The sequence below is a fragment of the Homo sapiens genome, chromosome 10, assembly GCF_000001405.40.
Source record: "Homo sapiens chromosome 10, GRCh38.p14 Primary Assembly".
In the NCBI taxonomy this organism is placed as follows: Eukaryota; Metazoa; Chordata; class Mammalia; order Primates; family Hominidae; genus Homo; species Homo sapiens.
In genome coordinates, this window is record NC_000010.11 from 108761073 (window position 1) to 108779294 (window position 18222).

The window sequence follows — 18222 nt, forward strand, 5'->3', positions numbered from 1 at the left end:
AACTTGTTTTTTTCCTAAATTTCCACATCCATACTGGCCAATGTTATGAGAATGGCCCAGAGAAACTATAAAAAAAGCATCATAACCACTGGAAGGGTCATGGGACAGCCATTTTAAATGTAGTCCAGCTCAGTGAAGACAGTGCCTTTTCCCAAGTAGGTCTATTGCTAATGCAGTAGGAGCCTCACAGCTCAGGGGAAATAAGCAGGGACTGGACAGCCCTGAAGACCATGGTTTAAATCTGACTCCTCCACTTACTGACTGTGTTACCCTGAGAGAACTAGTTTACTTCTAAGACACTCAGTTTCTGCATCTGTGAAACTAGGATAGTGACATCTAACTTACATAGATTTGGAATAGACCTACTATAATAGTGTCCATGCAGCTTCCAGTACAATTTCTGCCATGAGTTTGAAAAAATGTAGCATTTTTTTCTTGCTGGACAATTTGTCAAGCTGAGTGTAGACTGGATTTCAGCTCCAATTTACTTTTTCAGCTCTGTCCTCTTCAATAATGGTGCATGGTGACCCTCAATATGAGATACAAGGTAAGTGGTGGTTATCATCATGTTTGTGTGGGTGATTTATATCAGGAAAACAACATAGATTCATTTAAGGAAGGTGAAACTAACGTTTTCCCTCAGAGAAGTTTACATAACTGGTAGAGAAGCTTGGATAAAAATTCTAAAACGAGGAATCACAAAGTGTTTCAGCTAGTTAGGAAAATCAGTACAGATCAGTGAGCTGTCAAAAGAATGAATTACTTCTCATTGGTTATAACGGAAATTGGTTTGCACTTACCTATTTCGGATTAATTTTTTAACCCGATGTCTGACCAAATGTCACCCTACGCACCAAATCAGAAACAAATTGACAAGGGAAGAAAACATGCCCCAGACTTCCAAAAGATAGGCTACCCACCAAGAAACAGTTGATCTCTGTATAATGCAGAGTACGTAACTGAAAATGACACTAAATGGGGAAAAAGTCTTGTCTAATTTTATGAACATGCTAGATACAGTTTGCTGACAGATTTATGGATTATAACTGGCTGACATCCTTCTGTTTAAATGTTCACTTGTTTCCTTCGAAGACAAGAAAATCAGTTAATCTTAAGGCCCTTTGAATGATCTTTCCCCAGAACTTAATGGACTTGAAATCTGTCTGAGAGCAATTCATTCAATCTGACGCAATGCTACAGATGGTAACCATCTGAAGCCCTGAGTTGTAGAAATTCTAAAAAGTGACAGACTTCCTCAAATAGTATTCTACATGGAGGTGAGAAATAATTAATGCATTCCAAATTAGAAATAAGAGGGAGGCATTATTTGCAATCCTTGATCTTCTTTGAGAGATCTACCTTATAAAATTGCTGAGTGACTCAAACCCCAGGATACTGTGACAAGTGCTTAGTCCTTCTGTGTTCTTTCTATACCTTTCAGGAAAGGTGGAAATAAAAGAACTCAGAACCATGTAATTCTTATCTTCAAAGCAAGGGGACAAGACAGATAAAAAGAGTGCCTTAAGTAAACACTGAAAATTTGTTTAAAAGTATCATCTAAAAGACAAGTCAGAAAAAATGCTTTTACTTCCAGGTTTGGCAGATGTTAAGAAGTTTCGCAGTTATCAAATTCAGAAAAAGCTTCAATTTTGTATTGATAATCATGAAAAAGCCAAGAATGTTTAATATTCCACCACTACATTATGTTGTTTTTATTTATTCTACCCATATACTTTATCCCAACTTCTATAAAGGTTTAAGAACAATAAAGGAAAATAGGAAGAAGATTCTTGTGAGACAGGTCTGAAAAAGGTTAGCAAATAGCCTAAAGTACAATAAATTCTCAATAAAATGACCTTCCCTTCCTCCGATAGGGCATCTTGATTCTATCTTAGGGATTCCTAGTAAGTCTAGTAGAAGGCAGCTGGCTAATCCTTCCCAAAAAAGAAGTAGTCCTGAAGAGTCTCTGAATCTCTGATAGAAAGCTGTTCTCTCAATAAGAGTGAATGGCACATCCAATACTGAAAAACACTCAACTCATATCGGAGGGTAGTGAGGGGAGATGCCTGCTAATCCTCCATCAGGATCAGTCTTGGGTGCCTACAGCCAAGAACTACACATGTCCTCTACCAGGTAAAAAGAAGTGATCATCTGGAGTCCTAAGAACTAAATAGACATGATTTTGAATCCTGTGGGACACAGTATAACTTTCTCTGACCCATAGTTTATTATTCAAGTGGACTAAAAATTTCTACTATGTAAGAGTGAAGTAAAGAATAAAAGATAATATGAGAAGATATTAATGTAGTTCCTGGCACTTGGTACATATTAAATGGTAAAACAGTAAGTTAGTAATATCTCCATGTGAATCAGGATACTAGAGATGAGAGGAGATTTCTGGGGAACATGGAACCCCAGCTGATGATGAAGAAGACTCAGTACATTAAGAAGTGGTAGGACTTCCAAGCACAAATTTTGCTAAATTTGCAAAATTCCACAAATCGTCAGAAGTATAATATTCTTTAAGAAGAAATAAAGTCAGCCATCTTTACATTACCATTATCTTATTCTCTCAAACTTGGGCTGAAATAAAAATAGTCCACTGGACTGATGTTAGAATACTGGGCACCAAAAGCTGTATGATAACTCAAATTCCAAACTCAACAGAAAAAATACAAATGTTCCAGACGTTTCTTTTTCTTTCTTTTTTTTTTTTCCAGACAGGGTCCTGCTCTGTCACCCAGGCTGGAGTGCAGTGGTGTGATCACCACTAACTGCAGTCTCAACTTCCTGGGTGCAAGTGATTCTCCTACCTCAGCTTGCCATCTCACCTCCCCAGTAGCTGGGACCGCAGGTGTGCATCACCAAGCTCAACTAATTTTTTAAAAATTTGTTTTTGTAGAGATGGGTCTCCATATGTTGCCCAGGCTGGTTTCAAATTCCTAGGCTCAAACAATTTTCCTCCCTCAGGCTCCCAAAGTCAGACATCCTTCTTGATGGGGAAAAAAAATGGAAAACAAAGAAAGAAATGGGAAGAAGAAAATAACATCCAGTCTTGAGAGCAATTCTCTGGCTTTTAGGTCCTAGCATCAAAGTAATCTGAGTTCACTGAGGCTTTGTAAACAGCCCATGTATGTTTCTGTTTTCAAATACCTGCACACATTCCTCCAGACCGTAAGACTTAAGAGATTTTAGGAACACAAAAGAAGAGATCATGGCTAAACTTATGTAATACATAGTCACATGGCCTGAGTTTGAATACCAGGTTGAATTCTGATTAGCATGTGACTTGTGAAGACACTCAGCCCTCTAAAACATGGATTCCTTCTTTATGAGGAGGACAAATACTAGTACCCACCTCATAGGGCTGAGGTGAAGGTTCCAATGGGATGTTGCATATTCAATTCTATGTCAAAGGCTGTTCATGATTAGTACCTGTACTTTGTGTTTTTGATTAGTACCTCTATTTTGGGCTCTGTGAATAATCTTATCACCTGGTTTGGTTGTAAATGTGATCCATAGGTTTTGAGTTCTTCTACCTAGATTTTCTGGCTAGTTTTACGTGGAGATTAAATAAGATTGAAAAACATCCCTACTGCATTTCTAGAATATTTACTGTTAGTTTTGAAATCTCCACTGAAACTTTTAAATAAGATTTTAATAAACTATTTTAGAACAGTTTTTGATTTATGGAAAATGTGCAAAGATATTACAGAGAGGTCTCATGTCAGCCTTTTAAAAAACTGGTCCTGAGTCTTCAATTTGATGAGTTTGTACAACTGTAGACAAGATGCTTAATTGTATACCAGCCATGTGACTGGTCTTTTTTCATCTTGCTAGCATGCTCTTCCTTGACCTCTTGCTCTCTCTCTGATGAAGCAAGTTGCCATGTTGCAAAGTGCTCTATGGAGAGATCCACAAGTCTTCTTGCCAACAGCTCCTGAGAAACTGAATCCTACCAACAGCTATGCGAGTCAGTAAGGAAGTAGTTTCCCCCTAGTCAAGCCTTGAATTTACAGTGACTTTATGAAAGATCCAGAGCTGGAGGACCCAGCTAGGCCATGCCTACAGAGCCCAAATACCTGCATACATTCCTCCAGACTGAGAGACTCCGAAGATTTTATTTTAGGAACGTAATGGTGAGGCTGTGGCTAAATGCATACACTTTAGAGTCACATTGTCAGAGTTTGAATACCAGGTTGAACTCGGATTAGCACTGTGACTTGCGGAGACACTCAGTTTCTCCAAGCCCCAGGTTCCTTCCCTATAAGGAGGGCAAATAATAGTGACCACCTCATAGGACCGACATGAGGGTTTTAATGGGATGGTGCATATTCAATTCTATGCCAAGGGCTGTTCGTGAATAGTACCTATATTTTATGTTTGTGATAAGCGTATCTAATGTACAGAAATTGTGAGATAATAAATGTAATTTTAAGTCTAAATTTTGGAGCAATTTGTTATGCTGCAATAAATACCTAATACAGGGAGCCACTGTATTAGGTATTAGTATTAGTGTAGGTATTAAGTATTAGTGTAGACTCTGTGCTAACAGCTGGGAATATGACAGTAACAATCCGGGTTCCTACCCTGCCCTTTGGGGCTTACAGTATGGGGTTTGCTTGGTGACTCTGAAAGTCCATGGCCCAGTGCTCCCCAGTTCTCTTTCAAAACCAAAGCCCTGAACCACCCTACATCACAAAGGGGCTAAATGGGAAGGTGGAGCATTTTTCTAACCAGAGCTTAATTTTTCAAATAGACTGGAAGAAAAGTTTCTACATGCACTCACTGCATGTTTGACATACCCCTCCTGGTTAATATTCATAGAACCTTGAAGGAATCCCTGTTAATACCCAGATTTGAAATCTCAGAGCCAAGTGCTACAGCCTTGGGGCCTGATTTGCATCCATGAATATGCAGCAGCACGAGCCCTTTGCTTGGGATTTCTGCCCTATGATGGGTGTCACTGGTAAGTGTATGGCTGTGCATTTTCTCTTTCTGAACTGAATGTCCAACTCAGGAAATGAAATCTGAGCTGTACAGCAGAGGATAACTCCCTTTTCTATTTTCTTTCTACAGCAAAAACTCACTCTGGCTTCAGCAGCCCCTAAAATGTTTTCACTTTTGTATAAATTCTGGGAGAGATGATGTGATTTTTTATGGCTTCCTCCAGCCCTAAGGTTTGAGGGATGGTGAGTAAGCCATTTAACTGCAGTCAAGTGTTCTACTAATATACCACTTAGACCCCAACAAACAAATAAGCAAACAAATAAAAATAAGCAATCACTGCCATGTATGATGATCTTCAAAATGTAGGCAAATAGCTCATTTCCAGAAACTTATGATTTGATATTTTCAAATCATACTATTTTCACGTGATTGGCACTTACCATGTAGATAAGAAGCCTTTGGAATAGACTCAGAAAAAAATTTAGAGACTCATTTTGTCTTTTGTTAAGAAAGACACCTCTCATTTTCTATAAATGAACAGCAGGGGAAATGGGTCTTGAGTCCTACTGGAATCACCACCGTTATGCACATGTTCACTATCTATCTTTATCTCCTTCATGTATTCCTTTGATGGGGCCAAAATGATCTCAAGAGGGTAATGGGTGCCTCCTTTGAGGAAGTAGTAAGAATTATGGCCCAGGTGGACTTGATGCTATCTAAACTCCATCTCCATTGGCAGGAGGTGAAGCAGCACCTCCTTCCAGACACTCGGTCTCAGAGTGTCATCAGGCCACTGAGGTAGCGGCTGGTCAGTTGGGTTCATTGGGCATAATGTCTCAGTTTTTTGAAATACTTGAACGAGATTCACAGGCAGTAATGCATAGCTTTAAAAATGCCAGAGTACCTTAAAAAAGATAGTATGCCATTTGGTAAAAAGCAGGATCACTGCTGTTGAACTAGATGAGTAAAGACTCAATCCAAAGTTGGTCTACACAAAGGGAAGGGAACCAGCATTCACAGAGTACCCACTGTTGACAAATGTTATCTTAAATTCAGCCAAATGCCTCAGAAGATATTTGTCATTATTCTCATTTCACAGTCCACAAAACTGAGACTCTGAGGGGTTAGGTGAGTTGCTGAGACTACAGGGTCTGTATATTGAAGATGCTGAACTCGAAGACAGCTATGCTTTTCATGTCTGGGTTCCTTCTATCCTACTGTGGTGGCATAAGAGATGTACACCTTGGCCTTGGCTCTGTTTCTAAATGGCCAATGGCATAGGCTTTTAGTCTGTACATTCTCTGCCACTGGGTTCTTCTGTGAGGAAATGAGTTGTTTAGATTAGGTAACTTCTGTGTTTCTTAAAGTAATAAGGTCCTCATCCTGTGACCTAAGGGGTCAGTGTGGTAGGTGTTCAGCAGAGGAGTAGAAATCAGACCTGAAAGCTAGGCAGATTGAAAGAATTACATTGAGATAATAATTCCAGTTTTCTTTAGAAGAGTGATTAACTCCAAAAACAACAAATGGGGAGGCTCACAAAAGCCTGCCCCAAAGCTAAACTGGCTTAGATTTGGCTATAGACATCAAAGAATAGGATGTAGCGTTTCAAGTCTGTGTGCGTGTGTTGGGGCTGCAGGCTCTTCAGACACCCTGTGACTGACAGGCCCATCCCCCAAGGAGACTGAGATGAACTATAGTCCTGGTCTCAGAGCCATGATTAGCAATACCATCCCCCACTGGCTTAGACAAGCAATTCTAACATTGCTGGTCCTCAATTTCTCGAAGTTTAAATCAGCATGGTGCCTATGTTCTCATTTAGATCACATGAAATGGTGAAAATCAGATGTAAAATTGCCTCAAGAGGATAAAATGATCTGAAACATTGCCACAACTTTAAGAGAAAGTATTTACAATATAAGATATTAAGTAGAAATTACATACCATTTATTTTGATAATGTATGCCTTTTCGTATTACTGGTCTGTGTAACGTTTTTAATGCAAACACAAACACACTAACACACACCAGAGAACAAATTATATATACATATGGGTTTTTTTTTTTTCAAATTTTGGCATAACATACCTGATATGGTTAGGCTTTGTGTCCCCACCCAAATCTCATCTTGAATTGTAATCCCCAGGTGTTGAGGGAGGGACCTGTTGGGAGGAAGTGACTGGATTATGGGGGCGGTTTCCCCCATGCTGTCCTCATGATACTGAGTGAACTCTCATGAGATCTGATGGTTTTATAAATGGTAGTTTTTCCTGTGCCCTCGCTCACTTCTCTCCTGCCACCTTGTAAAGAAGGTGTCTGCTTCCCCTTCTACCATGATTATGTTTCCTGAGGCCTCCCCAGCCCAGCAGAACTATCAGTTAATTAAACCTCTTTCCTTTATAAATTACCCAGTCTCAGGTAGTATCTTTATAGCAGTGTGAAAATGGACTAATGCGACTAATGCAATACCTGAGTAAAAAACACCTAGTAAACTTATTTTAAAAATCAGATTCCCAGGCTCCACTCAGAGCTACTGAAATTAAATCAGAATTTGATGGTGAAAAGTTTATAGGAAGCTGCATTTCCAACTCATTTCCCAAGTATTCTTTGGTCTCCAGACTATATTGTGAGAAAACTCAATATCTCTGACTATACATATTGAAATTCTCAGGCATAATTTGCTACTGTTGGTGTTTCTACTTAATCTGAGCCCTCAGGAAAACTCTGAGACCTGTCCTGTGAGGATTCAAAGATGCTGCCCTTGTGCTAGAATACAGGTTTATTGCAAACAATTGGCATTTATGTAGCTTTCAGACAGTTTGGGTAGGGAGACATGGTGGAAAATAGGAATTGAATACAGAATTCGTATGGGTTCTTTTCTTCCTCTGGTTCTCATTAAGGGTAAAGCTATTTCTTCATCTGAGAATGACAACCCAAAATGACTCCTAAAAATTTGAAAAGCACAAACCAAATTGGCTCAGTTTCCCTCCTCATCCCTACTTTCATATCTAACAAATGAAATATCCTCTCCCACCTTCTGCTGCAATCAGCATCAATGAGGCAAAGAATAATTTGAATGCATCTGATCAAAGTTTCCAGTATTTTTCCCAACACAATTTATTGGGCTTAACTAAGGGTAGGCATGAGAAGGGTCTTGCTTCCATGCATACCCGGAGCAGGAGTCCAGCAAAGTTAATCCAGGAGCTCCAACACATGGCCCAGTGAAAGCTTCCTCATCACTCTGTGTCTACAGAACCAAAACTGGCTCAGGAGGTGAGAACAAATCATTTGGTTTGTAATCCTTTCCAATACAACTGACCCTCCCTAGAAGCAATAGCGAAATAAAATATTTAAGAACAAGAACTCTGGAATCAGACTTACTGGGACCAATTCCCAGCTAGACCAATCATTTACTCCTCTGAAAAATAGAAAAAAAAGTTCAGCAAATGCTCGATAGTTTTTATAAATTGTAATTTGAATGACTTTGATAAGAAAACTGCTGGACAACCTTTATTATTTGTTTAGCTTAGTTGTCTTAAAGGGAGAGGGTGACACTTCCATGAGTTTTGTGGAAGTGTACCTTTTTTTTTTCTTCTAGGACTAGTCACCTTAAATGAAGGCTTAAATCAATGAGTGATGACTCTGTGAGTATAGATATTGTCCCTATGTGAATAAGTATTTTTTTCTTTTGAAATATACATCCAATAAAGTATCGTCACTGATATGACAAGTTCCCTTAATGATATCAGGCACTAAATGAATGACTTAAGGCTTACATATGTAGTGCATGAAATGTGTACCAACCTTTGCATTAGAGTGTACTAATCCAGGAAAGATGTTTCCTTGACACTAACCCATTTTGATTTGTATTAACAACTTCTATTGGGTAGATACCATCACCCACTTTTATGGGTGAGAAAATGAAGTTTAGGGAGATAAAATAAGGTCATTTACTAACAGAGTTGACATTTCCATGATTCTTCTACACAAGCGCATGCTCTGTGTAAAACACGAGGGTTAGATTTCACAACTCCTCAAATCCCTTTCAGAGCTAAATTCTGAGACTCAGTGATATTGTGGACCAAAATATGACCCACCCCCATATCATATCAATTTTATGCATTTAGTTTCTGATATAAAATGATTATTCTGGGATCCTAGTCTACAAACATTAGCCTTGTTTTATGGTACCACCCATCCTATCTTTACCTTCAATTCTCTTCAATCTTTCACATATGTCAGTCATTGTTGAGCACTCTCTTTTTTAAGGCCCTAATGATGCTCAAGAATAAATCTGATTTCTGTATACCCTGACTTGAAAGAACCACAATCTGGTCCCACAGTTTTTGCCTTCTGATGAAATTCAAAACTTTCTATCAAAATACCACCATGAAATTGGCCCATAATATCATTTAATAAGTTATTTCTTTTGACTTTTCTTCTTTATTTTTGACCTTGAATACACAGGCTGATATGCTGTGTGAATTTCAGGATGCTAAACCAAGAAGTATAATCCTCAGGGAACAGAACTTTTGTCACAATAACATAGTCAATTTAGAAATTTTCCTTCACTGTCCTCCATTGCCTTATGTTCTTCAATGATGGGCTATTTGATTGAATATCCTTTTCTGACAGATTTCCTCAACCTTACCCATAAAACAAAGCACTCATACCCAATGACATTCCATGATATATTACACCATAAAAAAATGAAAAAATAAAATGTTCTACGTATCATAGAGAGTTTTTCATTTAGTTATTATTTTAGATATGCAGGTTTGTCAGCTCTCACTAGCTGAATCATTAGTTCCAGATCATTACTACACATTACTAGAACAATGGCTATAAAAAGACAATAGGCATAAGCATGACAAGGGTAAGAAAAGATATGATTATTTGTACCTACTTGTAATATACCATTCTAACGTCATATTTTTTTCTTCTTCAACCAATGAAAAGTTGATACATATTTAATACAAATTTTATTTTGTTTTATTTTTAATCATACTTATTTCTACTTCCTTTTAAATTGCTCATCTGGATTCCAGTGACAGCCATGACAGAGCAACAGACGGCAGATCTAACCTCTTTCTTTAAATAACTACAAAGCCAGACCAACTATGAAGAAACTGTTTTTAGATGTTGAGTAAGATAAAGCATAGGACTCTGATCCATGAGCAAAGGAAAGAAATGAGGTGAGCTCTATATTTTCCATGACTTAAGACACTTTCCATACAGAGAAGTGAGTGCCAAACATAGAGCTTCCCTTCATTCCTTTTGGTCTCAATGAATGGAAGAAACAGAAATGATGTATGGAGCTGCTGTGGCTATTTGCATTTTGTGGGCAAGGTTACATAGACAAGGAACCTTAATTGCCAAAGACCTTGAGAAACTTAAATAAGAGTTCCCTTGAGACTTTGACCTAGTAATTAGCTGCATATGTGCAAGTGAGAACCAAGGAAGCCTGGCAGAATAAAAAAGCTACTTTGGACTGAGAGACAGTACACTGTTGAGAGATATTGGCATTCAGAGTAGATCAATCTTACTTCCCATCCCAATAAATATGTTAAAAATCCAATAAGCCAGACCTTAAAGAGCAGGGCTACTCTAGCTCTAGGTAAGGACTATTTAGCTCCAACATTATAAAGCCTAAGACCAAGCTTAGATAGAGCAAGCTGATCTGTCAAAATTTAAATAACTGCAAGAAAAAACACTTCTTAATAGAAGACAGCAAGCAGACTCTCAGCAATGCAACATCCACAATTTCCAACATAAATTAAAAAATGATAAAGCAATAAAGTGCGACACATAAACCAAGAGAAATGACAATAAGGATAAAAATGCTCAAAGATGATCTAGACATTGGAATTAGCAGATAAGAAGTTTAAAATAGCTATCACTAGTATGTTAAAAAAGTTAAAGGAAAATAAGATCATTATGTGTAATCATATGTGAAAACTCAGGAGATAAAAGGAAGCTATTAAAATAGAGAAACCAATGACTAAATACCGAGATATCTGAGATGATATATTTATTTTGTCTGGCATTTGAGTGCAGTGTTCTATAAACATTAATTAGTTAAAAGTAGTTGACAGTATTGCTCAGATTATCTATGTCTGTTTTTTTTTCTTTTTGGTCTAGTTATTATGTATATAACTGAAAGTCAGATAAAAATTTCATTTGAGATTGTAAATGTTTATTTTTCCTTTAAATCTGTCAGCTTTTGCCTCATATAATTTTGCTATTAAGCACATGTACATTTATGATTTTATTCCTAATTCATACTTTGACATTATGAAATAGCTCTGCTAGTATTTCTTTGTTTTGAAGACTGTTTTATTTGCTATTAATATAGGTTCTTCAGATGTATTTTGATTATCATTTATATGGTATAATATTCTATTTTCAGCCTATTTGTGTCTGAATATTTAAAGATATCCCTAATAGACAAGACAGAGTTGGTTCTTTTCCATCATTCTAATAATCTCTGTGATATTTATGGATTGCATATGCTATTCCACTTAATGCAGTATGTATGAATATTGCTCGATTTACTGTTTTCTTATTGTCACCTTTATTGTTTCTTATCTTTCCTTATTATTCCTTTCTTACCTCTTTTGTATTACTTGAAAAAGTGTTAGAATTTCATTTTAATTTGTCTGATGATTTTTATTCATGTCCATTTGTACTCTTTTTAAAGATAAGTTTCTCTGGGACATACAAAAAGTATTTTTAAGTCTTCACAGATTTCTGAGTCAATATTGTACCACCTCATGTAAAATGTGGAAACTGTGCAACCCCATAGATCCTTTAACTCTCCAATCTTTCTCATCTTACAGATGTGATAAACATCCAAGTCAATGTTATAACATGTTTTAACATTCTATATATTCTACAGTAGTAAGAGAAGTAAATATATTCTGTTGTATTTACCATACCAAATTGTCTTCATTTATTTTCTAAAGAACTGAGTCATCCTCTGGTTTTGTGACTCTTGCTCCTTAACTAAACTATGCTTTACTGTACGGCAGATATGATGGTCTGAGAGTACAAAAAACAAACCCAAAGTGTTTTATTCTCTCATACCACTACAACCAACACAGAAGACTTCTGTGACCAGATGTGTGGTCACACATCAAGCAAGCAATCAGTTCTGCACGGGGCACCAGCTTGATGTCCTCGAATGCAGTTCAATTCTGACACTATCTACCCAAAGGTAGTATCAGATCCTACAGGTTGAGGGCTTAGCCCCCAAGACTGCCCACCAGCCCCTTCAGATGCCAGTCACAAGCTCCAGGTTGTTTTATCTTTCTTTCTCTGACCGGCTGGCTATAAACTGGGAGTTCCATGACCTCTTCACAAAAACACACCCCCTGCTTCATGTAATTAGGTTCAATTAAGTTACTAGAGTGGCTCAAAGTATTCAAGGATATACTTAAATTTACAAGTTTATTTTAAAGGACATTACAAAGGATACATATGAGAAATGCACAGTGCAAGGTGTGGAAGAAGGAGTGTGGAGCTTCCATGCTCTCTCTGGCTATGCCATCCTCAAGGATCCTTCATGTGTTCAGCTGTCCTGGAGGCTCTTTGAACCCTGTCCTTATGGTTTTTTTATGACGGTGTCATTAAGTATGATTGATTAAACCATTATCTATTGATAATCAACTTAATCTTCATCCCCTCTTCCCTCCCTGGAGGTTCAGGAGTGGGGCAGAAAGTCTAAGCCCTCTAATCGTCCCTTCTTTCTAGTGACCAACCCCCATTCTGAAGCTACCTAGGGGCTGCCAGACATCATTAAACTCATCAGAGAACAAAAGACATTACTTTGGGGCATCTAAGGATTTAAGAAATTGTATGCCAGGAAACAGGATCAAAGACCAAATATATATTTCACAATATAACAGCTGGATAAAAATTACCAAAGAAATATATGTATTTCATTCTTATTTTTGCCAGATATACCAATATGACAATATCTACTGTCTCCCTACAAACACGTGCATGCATGCACATGTGAGCACACACACACACACTACTTTCAAGTGACTGTTGCATCATTACCTGGACTCTATAGTTTCTAATGAGAGGTTTTAAAACATTTTTCAAATCATTGTTTATCACTGTGTATCATTTTTATCTGGCTGTTTTCAAGATTTTGCTTGTTTTTCAGCAGATCTACCATGATGTTTTGGTGAATCTATAAATTTATGTTTCTGCAATTTGTGATGTTTTCAGATATTTCTTTGGATACATTTTACTTATTTTTCTCACTCTTCCTCAGGGATTCAAATCACATATATGTTAAATAATTTGATATTTTCTTATATGATTGTAAGTCTTTGACTTTTATGGATTATTTTTATTTCCTTTCATATTTGTGTCATTGGATAATTTCTATTGTTTCATGATCTTGATTTTTGACTTTTTCATGTCCTTTATGAAATTAAACAAGTCTTTAAGCCTTAATTTCATATTGCTAAATTTTTCAATTCTAAATGTTATTGGGCTCTTTTACGCACTTTCTGTTTGCTGATTTTCCTTACTTTTCATCTATTAAAATAATATTGTCTTTAATTTCACTGAATATACTTATAATAACATTTTATAAAATCCTTGCTGGCTAATTCCAACATCTCTGTCATCTTAAGGTCACTATATACTGATAATCTTTCGTTTTGAGAATGGGGCACATTTTTCTCTTTCTTCACATGTAGAGTAATTTTATCACATTATACACATTGTGAATGTTATACGTTTATTATTTTAAGTGTCTTTAAATGGAATGTGTGTGTGTATAACACACAATAAGTCAGTTAGACTGAACCTCAAAATGTCTTTGGGGTAGCTAAAATCTCAGCTAAGTTTTTATCCGTAGCTTGGCTATTTGCAGTTCGCTACACATTTGCATGTTTCAGAAATGGAGATTTAGGCAATAGTTTTTGTTCTTTCTCTGGTTGTCTTGTCCCTGGGATTCTCCCCTCATTTTCTAGTGGTTGTAAGCTAAGGTTGTTCCAAATTCTTCCCCTGGTTCTTCAGGCCAGAGAAATTTCAGGAATTGTATTGAAGTTTTAGCTGATCCTCTCACATGAATCATGACCCACCTTTAGGTTAAAAGATATAAAAACTGGAAATGCACCATATATTAACACTTTCATTCAAGTGTTGCTCATCTTACTAACCTGCCTTGTTGGGTTGATTTTTTTTCTTTTTTTACTTATTTTTAATTTTAAGTTCTGGGATACGTGGACAGGATGTGCAGATTTATTACATAGGTAAATATGTGCCCTGGTGGTTTGTTGCACCTATCAGTTGATAATCTACATATTAAGCCCCACATGCATTAGCGTTTTAACTTGATGCTCTCCCTGCCCCTGCCCTCCCCAACAGGCCCCAGTGTGTGTTGTTCCCCTCCCTGTGTCCAGGTGTTCTCATTGTTCAGTTCCCACTTACAAGTGAGAACATGAGTTGTTTGGTTTTCTGTTTTAGTGTTAGTTTGCTGAGGGTAATGGCTTCTAGATCCATCCATGTCTCTGCAAAGGACATGATCCCATTCCCTTTTATGGCAAAGGACATGATCCCGTTCCCTTTTATGGCATAGTATTTCATGGTACATATGTACCACATTTCCTTTATCCAGTCTATCATTGATGGGAATTTAGGTTGATTCCATGTCTTCGCTATTGTGAACAGTGCTGCAGTGAACATTTGCATGCATGTATCCTTACAACAGAATGATTTATATTTCTTTGGGTATATACCCAGTAATGGGATTGCTGGGTCAAATGGTATTTCTGGTTCTATATCTTTGAGGAATTGCCACACTGTCTTCCACAATGGTTGAACTAATTTACATTCCCACCAACAGTGTTAAAAGCATTCCTATTTCTCACAGCCTCGCCAATATTTGTAGTTTCTTGACTTTTTAATAACTGCCATTCTGATTGACATGAGATGGTATCTCTATATTGCAATATATAAAATTATGAGCTCTAGACAACTTGGCAATATGTGAATTGTTCCTTTCTCATTCAATGCCTGCAGTAGAAGTGAGAGCCCTAGATTCATTTTTGAATGACAGCCCAGATGTCATCTATAATTCAAAGGGCCCTGGAATACTCTATTCTCCCAGGAAGGGTATTACATCTGCGAAAAATGAAAATAAATAAATTTGAATTCCCAGTTGCTAAATGAAAACGTCATCTGTGAATTTACAGGTCAAAATATCCAACCACAATCAAGAGTCATGCATAATTCATGATTAAGGCATGACAATTATACATTTCAGCTTGTGGGAGAGAGGGTGAAGGTGTACAGGTGCTGAACAGGATGTCAAAAGCATTCCAGGCAGCCCTCCACTCTCTCCTTCTGGCCACCACAATTAATATACCAGGGTAAACAAAACTGCTTAGAATAGATTTAGATCATTTATTCATAGTTTTTAAAATTAAATGTTTGTTATAGATTTTTAATGCATTAGTAGTTCAATGTTTTCCTGAGTTTTCCGAAAGAAAAGGTTAGGAAAGAATCTCTTTTGTACTTCTCTTTCAATCCAATACCCAAGTGCATTCCAGTACTGAGGGAAGGGGATCATTTCTTTTTCTTTCTTTCTTCTTCTTCTTTTTTTTTTTTTTTTTGAGATGGATTCTCATACTGTTGCCCAAGCTGGAGTCCAGTGGTGCCATCACGACTCACTGCAACCTCCACCTCCTGGGTTCATACGATCCTCCTGCCTCAGCCTCCTGAGTAGCTGGGATTACAGGTGCACACCAACACACCTAGCTAATTTATATATATATATATATATATATATATATAGTATAGACAGGGTTTCACTGTGTTGGCCAGACTGGTCTCGAACTCCTGACATCATGATCTGCCTCCCTCGGCCTCCCAAAGTGCTGGGATTATAGGCCTGAGCCACTGTGCCTGGCCAAGGGGGATCATTTCAAGCACCTCATTATTACAACATTTTCTAACAATGTCAACAAATATGGTCTTTGGCATAATGCTGCTTAGCTATATGACATATAAAATCATACGGCTGAAAAATATAACAAAATTACTAGCTGCTGGCTGGCATTTTTAATACCACAAGAGTGGCTGAGTCCTCTTTCTATATATCTATAAGGTACTACAGAAGGGAATCAGTTTCACTGGTAACACTTCCCCCAGCAAACACATTCTCTCTCTCTGTCATACACACACACACACACACACACACACACACACACACACAGTCAAGGCCTAGAAGCCCTCTTTAAGGTACAAAAATGTCATCGTTGTATCATAGTCTGGAAATAATGACAGATTCCTCAGCAAACCCTGGTGCAGTTACATTATTTACTTTTTAAAAAAATTTCCAACTTTTAAGTTCAGGGGTATATGTATGTGCAGGATGTGTAGGTTTGTTACATAGGTAAACGTGTGCCATGGTGGTTTACTCCACAGATCATCCCATTACCTAGGTATTAAGCCCAGCATCTATTAGCTAGTCTTCCTGATGCTCTCCCTCCCTCTACTGTCCCCTGACAAGCCCCAGTGTGTGTTGTTCCCTGCCCCCATGTATCCATGTGTTCTCATCATTCAGCTCTCATTTATAAGTGAGAACACGTGGATATGGTTTTTCTGTTCCTATATTAGTTTGCTGAGGATAATGGTTCCGGCTCCATCCATGTCCCTGCAAAGGACATAATCTCTTTTCTTTTTATGGCTGCATAGTATACCATGGTCTATATGTACCACATTGTCTTTAATCAGTCTATCATTGATGGGCATTTAAGTTGAATCCATGTCTTCACTGTAGTGCTGCAATGAACATACACGTGCAGGTATCTTTTTTTTTTTTTTGAAACATAATATCACTCTGTTGCCCAGGCTGCAGTGCAGTGGCATGATCTTGACTCACTGCAACCTCCACCTCCTGGGTTCAAGCTATTCTCCCACTTCACCCTCCCATGTAGCTGGGATTACAAGCAGGTACCACCATGACCAGCTAATTTATATATATATATATATATATATATATATATACACACACACACACACACACACACACATATATGTATATATATATACACATATATATGTATATGTATACATATATATGTATATATATACACACACATATGTATATATATGTATATATGTATATATGTATATGTGCATATATATGTATATGTGCATATATATGTATATATGTATATATATGTGTGTGTGTGTATATATATATGAGTATATATATGTTTTTTTTTTAAATGGAGATGGGCTTCACCACGTTGGCCAAGCTGGTCTCGAACACCTGACCTCAAGTGATCTGCCCACCTTGACCTCCCAAAGTGCTGAAATTACAGGTGTGAGCCACTGTGCCCAGCCACATGTATCTTTATAATGTAATAATTTATATTCCTTTGGGTATATACCCAGTAATGGGATTGCTAGGTTGAATGGTATTTCTGCCTCTCAGTCTTTGAGGAATAATCACACTGTCTTCCACAATTGTTGAATTAATTTACACTTTCACCAACAATGTGAAAGCATTCCTTTTTCTCCACAACCTCTCCAGCATCTGTTGTTTACTGACTTTTTAATAATAGTCATTCTGACTGGTGTGAGATGGTATCTCATTTGCATTTCTCTAATAATCAATGATGTTGAGCTTTTCTTCATGTTTCCTGGCTGCATGTATATCTTATTTTGAGAAGTATCTGTTCATGTCCTTTGCCCACATCTTAATGGGGTTGGGTTTTATTTTTGTAAATTTGCCTAAGTTCCACATAGATGTTGGATATTAGACCTTTGTCTAATGGATAAATTGCAAAAACTTTCTCCCATTCTATAGGTTATCTATTCACTCTGATGATAGTTTCTCTTGCTGTGTAGAAGCTGTTTAATTAGATCCCATTTGTCAAATTTTGCTTTTGTTGCAATTGCTTTTGGCATCTTCGTCATGAAATCTCTGCCTATGTCTATGTCCTGAATGGTATTGCCTAGATTTTCTTCTCCAGTTTCTATAGTTGTGGGTTTTACATTTAAGTATTTAATCCATCTTGAGTTGATTTTTGTATATGGTGTAAGTAAGGGGTCCAGTTTCAGTTTTCTGCATATGGCCAGCCAGTTCTCCTAGAACCATTTATTAAACACGGAATCTTTTCCCCATTGCTTGTTTTTGTCAGGTTTGTTGAAGAGCAGATGGTCTGATCCATTGATCTATGTGTCTGTTCTTGTACTAGTACCATGCTGTTTTGAGTACTGTGGACTTGTACTATAGTTTGAA

At 37.4% G+C, this 18222-nt stretch overlaps 1 long non-coding RNA gene across 1 annotated transcript in view; it reads left to right on the forward strand.

The window, feature by feature from the left end:
* Positions 1–18222, forward strand: part of LINC02661 (long intergenic non-protein coding RNA 2661) — a 132148-nt gene that overhangs the window by 52534 nt on the left and 61392 nt on the right. The window contains exon 3 of the long non-coding RNA NR_187538.1: positions 497–547. This is a non-coding gene — a long non-coding RNA (long intergenic non-protein coding RNA 2661). The remainder of the gene's footprint in view (positions 1–496; positions 548–18222) is intronic.